Source organism: Homo sapiens, chromosome 9 (genome assembly GCF_000001405.40).
Source record: "Homo sapiens chromosome 9, GRCh38.p14 Primary Assembly".
NCBI classification, from domain to species: Eukaryota; Metazoa; Chordata; class Mammalia; order Primates; family Hominidae; genus Homo; species Homo sapiens.
This window is the reverse complement of record NC_000009.12, coordinates 124,819,131-124,825,130: the sequence shown is the minus strand read 5'-3', so window position 1 is coordinate 124,825,130 and position 6,000 is coordinate 124,819,131. Positions and strand designations below refer to the sequence as shown.

General features: G+C 49.2%; 1 annotated feature.

The window, feature by feature from the left end:
* Positions 863 to 912: an enhancer, noted in NCBI's record as "active region_28990". NCBI's record gives its function as "activates an Ori minimal core promoter by ATAC-STARR-seq in GM12878 lymphoblastoid cells {active_cell/tissue: GM12878}" and the evidence as "EXISTENCE:reporter gene assay evidence [ECO:0000049][PMID:35858748]".

Below are 6,000 nucleotides of genomic sequence, written 5' to 3'. Positions count from 1 at the left end.
TTAGCCAAGCGTGGTGATGCACGCCTGTAATTCCAGCTACTTGGGAGGCTGAGACATGGGAATCACTTGAAGCTGGGAGGTGGAGGTTGCAATGAGCCAAGATGACACCAGTGCACTCCAGCCTGGGCAAGAGAGTAAAACTGTGTCTCAAAAAAAACCAACAAAAAACAAAAACAAAAACAGGCACTATTGAGACATCAAATCTGAATAAGATCTGTAAATTAAGAATAATATTACCTCAATGTTAAAGTTCTTTTTTTTTTTTTCAAGACAGAGTCTCTGATGCCCAGGCTGAAGTACAATGGCATGATCTTGGCTCACAGCAAACTCTGCCTCCTGGATTCAAGCGATTCTCCTGTCTCAGCCGTCTAAGTAGCTGAGACTACAGGCAGATGCCACCATGCCCGGCTAATTTTGGTATTTTTAGTAGAGACGGGGTTTCACCATGTTGGCCAGGCTGGTCTCAAACTCCTGACCTCAGGTGATCCACCTGCCTCGGCCTCCCAAAGTGCTGGGATTACAGGATGAGCCACTGCGCCTAGCCCCATCAATGTTAAAGTTCTTGGTTTTGCTAATTGTGCTGTGATAAATGTCCATGTTCTTAGGAAACGCACCTGAAGTATTTAGGGCCAAAGGGTCATCATATCTGCAACCTACCCTCAAATGGTTTAGAAAAAAGAGAATGACAAAGCAAATACGGCAAAATGTGAGCAACTGGTGAACCTGGGGAAGAGTCTAGGGAAATCCCTTGTACTATTCTTGGACCTTTTCTATTTACTGACATTATGTCAAAGTAAAAAGTTAAACTGAAAAAAAACCCCAAAAGCCTGTTTGCATATTTTTCTTTAAAGCAGCAGCTATTAGGCTACATATGGTGGTGAGCACCTGTAGTCCCAGATACTTGGAAGGCTGAGGTGGGAGGATCACCTGAGCTCAGGAGTTCTAGGCAGCAGTGAGCTATGATTGCCCCACTGCACTCCAGCCTGGGCGACAGAGGGAGACTCTGTCTCTAAAATAAATAAATAGTAGGCTGGGCGCAGTGGCTCATGCCTGTAATCCCAGCACTTTGGGAGGCCGAGGAGGGCGGATCACTTGAGGTCAGGAGCTGGAGACCAGCCTGGCCAACATGGCGAAACCCCGTCTCTACTAAAAAATACAAAAATCAGCTGGGCATGGTGGCACGTGCCTGTAGTTAAGGCTACTCAGGAGGCTGAGGCACGAGAATCGCTTAAACCCGGCAGGCGGAGGTTGCAGTAGGCTGCAACATTGCACCACTGCACTCCAGCCTGGGTGACAGAACAAGACTCTGTCTAAAAAAAAAAAAAAAAAAAAGTCTCCCTTCTGGTTTATTAAACTCACTGGTGGCAAATGAAGTGAGGTTTCTTTTTTGCTGCCCCTCTGATCTTGATCTGGTCTTGTGCATCAAGAACAAGGTTCTCAGTTTAACTTTCCGAGCTGCTTCCAATCCTCACATCTTGGTTCTTGAAGATCCTCAGATTAATGGAGTTCGAGGTTGAGATGTTTGGAAGTGAGTAGCCATAAATGAGACTGGGAACGTTAATGGAGGCCTTGATTTTCACCCATGGGAGCCGGATTTGATCCTCAGAACAATGCGGGGAACCTTGGGGTGGTGACAGGTAATGGAGTAAAAGGGTGATATGGCTTGGATCCACATCCTGCCCAAATCTCACGCTGAGTTGTAATCCTCAGTATTGGAGGTGGGGCCTGGCAGGAGGTGATTGGATCATGGGGGTAGGTTTTTCATGAATGGTTTAGTACCATACCCTTGGTACTTCCTCATGATGGTGAGTGAGGTTTTTGTTTTTGTTTTTTTTTTGAGACAGAGTCTCACTCTGTCGTCCAGGCTGGAGTGCAGTGGTGCAGTCTCAGCTCACCACAACCTCCGCCTCCTGGGTTCAAGTGATTCTTCTTCCTCAGCCTCTTAAGTAGCTGGGATTACAGGCAGCCACCACCATGCCCAGCTAATTTTTGTATTTTTAGTAGAGATGGGGTTTCACCATGTTGGTCAGGCTGGTCTCAAACTCCTGATCTTGTGATCCGCCTGCCTTGGCCTCCCAAAGTGCTGGGATTACAGGCGTGAGCCACCGTGCCTGGCCAGGTATTTCTTTATAGCAAACTGAGAAAAGACTAAAACAAAGGAACAGATTTTTTTTTTTTCTTTTTGAGATGGAGTCTGTCTGTCACCCAGGTGGGAGTGTGGTGGCATGATCTCGGCTCACTGCAACCTCCACCTCCTTGGTTCAAGCAATTCTCCTGCCTCAGCCTCCCGAGTAGCTGGAATTACAGGCGTGTGCCACCACATTCCGATAATTTTTATATTTTTAGTAGAGATGTGGTTTCACCACATCGGCCAGGCTGATCTCGAACTCCTGGACTCAAGTGATCCACCCACCTCAGCCTCCCAAAGTGCTAGGATTACAGGGGTGAGCCACTGTGCCCAGCCCAGATTTTTTTTTTTTCTAAGAGACAGGGTCTCACTGTGTCATCCAGGCTGGAGTGCAATGGTGCAGTCAGAGCTCATTTCAGCCTCAACTTTCTAGGCTCAAGCAATCCTCCCACGTCAGCCTTCCAAGTAACTGGGACTACAGGTGCGTGCCACCACACCCAGCTAATGAACATTTTTTTTTTTTTTTTTTTTACAGATGGAGTCTTGCTGTGTTGTCTGGGCTGGTCTTGAACTCCTGGCCTCAAGTGACCCTCCCACCTCAGCCTCACAAAGTGCTGGGCTTATAGGCATGAGCCATTGCATCAGGCTTGGTCAGATTTTTATTTCAGAAAATTCACTCCAGCAGTGGAAGTTGAGGGTCAAAGGATGGGAAGATATAAGAAACAGAAAGATCAGTGTGGAGGCTGTCAACAAATCCAGGTAAGAGCTAGAGTGGAAGTATTATTTAGACATAATACTTTCTATAATAGAAATGGCAAAATGTAGCATACATTCCACCACTCTAATTTCTTATTCTCAGCAGACATTGCTAATCGCTGAGTCCTTGTTTGCACTGGGCAGCTCACATAGATAGTCACTACTAAACAACCTGAGTAGACACATGGATGAATGAAATTTGCTCTTTCTGGACAAAGGAGAGGCATCACTTGTGAAGATATCCCTGTGCTTGCTAACAATTCACTCTGGGTTTACCCCAACCTGAGATGCTGAAGGTCAGACCGAGGGTGATGCCCTAAGTCAGTCTTTGATATCATGTACGTTGCATCCTGCCTCATTTTTCCAAGTGCCTTCTATGTTCCCATTTATGGACTTTTTTCATGTCCATGACCTCATTTTAACCTCACAATGTTCCTGGGAGATCAAGGTTGTCACTCCCATTCTACAAATGAGGAAGCTAGCTGGGGTGCGGTGGCTCATGCCTGTAATCCCAGCACTTTGGGAGGCCCAGGCGAGGTCCCGAGTTTGAGACCAGCCTGGCCAACAAGGCAAAACCCTGTCTCTACTAAAATTACAAAAATTAGCCAAGTATGGTGGTGGGCACCTGTCATCCCAGCTACTCGGGAGGCTGAGGCAGGAGAATCACTTGAGCCAGGGAAGCAGAGGCTGCAGTGAGCCAAGATCACGCCACTGCTCTCCAGCCTGGGGGACACAGCAATACCCTGTTTCAAAAAATAAACAAAAACAAAAACAAAACAAAACAACAACAACAACAACAAAACCCAAAAAACAATGAGGAACCAGAGATTAGAGACATCAAGCAGCAAGCATAGGTTCCACAGGTGGTAGGTGGCAGAACCAGGATTCAAACTGAAGGCTGTTGGGCTCCAAGAAACTCGGACAAGTTCCTTCCAAAATGAGCTTGCCCAGGCTGCAGCAGCTGTTTGCATTTGTCAGGGACTCATGCAGAAAAACTACAACAGATTTGGGCTGGACATGTTAGTAGCAGTGACTTTCCCCATCAATAAAATCTGTGGCTTAAACAGACCTGGGAAACTTGACTTTTGAATCACCCTTGTCTAATCCATCCTGGTGCTGAGCCATGAGGAAGGAAGGCTCTGGCCCTGAGTGGGGGTCAGGGGCAGCTGGGAGAGGGAAGATCTGCACAGATGGTGAGGGGCGGAGGCCTCTCATGGAAGAGAATAAAGTTTCTGTCCTTGCAAAATTGGAATGAGGGCCCTGGAGCCAAGCAGCCAGGGCCGGGGAGGGGCCAGCCAACCTTTGGCACGTGAAATGCCAGCCGGCTCTCATGGCAGATAATTTTCGGTGATAATTCATCCCACCAGCAGGCGCGCATTCTGAAAGCCCTGTCTGTTCCTGCCTCACGGGGTCCCTGCAGGAATGTGGGGGGTTGAGGGGCTGGCCCCGGATGTAGGCTGAGTGGGCAGGGCAGTGTCTGGGCACTGCCTGGGGCCAGAGGGAGCCTTTGTGCTCTGTGCCTTGGGAACACCCCCACTCATAAAGACACCCCATGGGGGGAAAGGCTATCACGCCAGGCTAGGGCCTGCTCTCTTGGTTTCTTCTTCTGCGGCAGCCAACCCAGAGGTTGCTTTCCTGGGTACAGCCTGGGATCCGATACACCTCTTCTTTCTCTGACTTGTGGTGCATGCATCAGCCCCCAGATTCGCCCTGCCATGCCGGGTCCACACCAGCTGCGGGGTGCTCCTTCCAAGTGCCAGGAGGGTGATGGGCAGGGGGCCTCTACCTGGAATGCATGGCACAATCTCCTGGGGAGCGTTTAAAACCCACCCAAAATGGGCCGGGCGCAGTGGCTCATGCCTGTAATCCCAGCACTTTGGGAGGCCGGGGTGGGTGGAACACCTGAAGTCAGGAATTCGAGACCAGCCTGGCCAACATGGTGAAATCCTGTCTCTACCAAAAATACAAAAATTAGGCTGGGCACGGTGGCTCATGCCTGTAACCCCAGCACTTTGGGAGGCCGAGGCTGGCAAATCATGAGGTCAGAAATTCGAGACCAGCCTGACCAACACGGTGAAATCCTCTCTACTAAAAATACAAAAATTAGCTGGGTGTGGTGGTGTGCACCTGTAATCACAGCTACTCAGGAGGCTGAGGGAGGAGAATCTCTTCAACCCAGGAGGCAGAGTTTACAGTGAGCCAAGATTTCGCCACTGCACTCCAGCGTGGGTAACAGAGTGAGACTCCGTCTCTAAATAAATAAATAAAACCCGCCCAAAACGGCTGGGCACCATGGCTCATGCCTGTAATTCCAGCACATTGGAGGCTAAAGCAGGAAGATGGCTTGAGGTCAGGAGTTTGAGACCAGCCTGGGCAACATAGTGAGACCTCATCTCTATAAAAAAATTTTAAAAACTTAGCTGGGAATGGTGGTGTGTGCCTGTTGCCCCAGCTACTTGGGAGGCTGAGGCTGGAGCATAGCCTGAGCATGGGAGGTAGAGGCTGCATTGTGCCATGATTGCACCACTGCACTCCAGCCTGGGCAACAGAGTGAGACCCTGTCTCGAAATAAATAAACAAATAAATAAAACTAAATAAAACCCTCCAAATTTTGGTCCTCGCTCCCACGGACTGGTATATGGTCCAGGGTGGCGTCTGAGCACCAGCATCTTTTGAAACTCTCCAGTGATTCTGACATGAGCCTATGTGGGCTGAGGTCGAGGACGATTGGTGCAGCTTTTTGAGAGGGTGGCACTGCAGCTCAGCCACTTCCAGCTGTGTGGGTGGCCTTAAACACTGTAGCAGCCTGTGCCTCAGTTTCCTCATTTGTGAAATGTGGGCAGCAACGGTACCAATTTTATGGGGCTACTGGGAGGATTCAATGAGATAGTGCCATAAAGAATCAGCACCACACCTGGCTTAGAGCAAAGGCTTGGACGATGTAGCTCCTGCAGATGGTTCCTACTCATTCCTTTCCCACACTGGCCACGGGGAGATTTGGAACCTTGAAGTCGCAGGAAAAAAGTCTAAAGAGCAGAGAGGGCCCTCTCGAGGACTGTACCACCTGAGGTGACCAGGGGAGGCTCCCTTGCCCTGATCCAAAGCTGGTTGGGAGG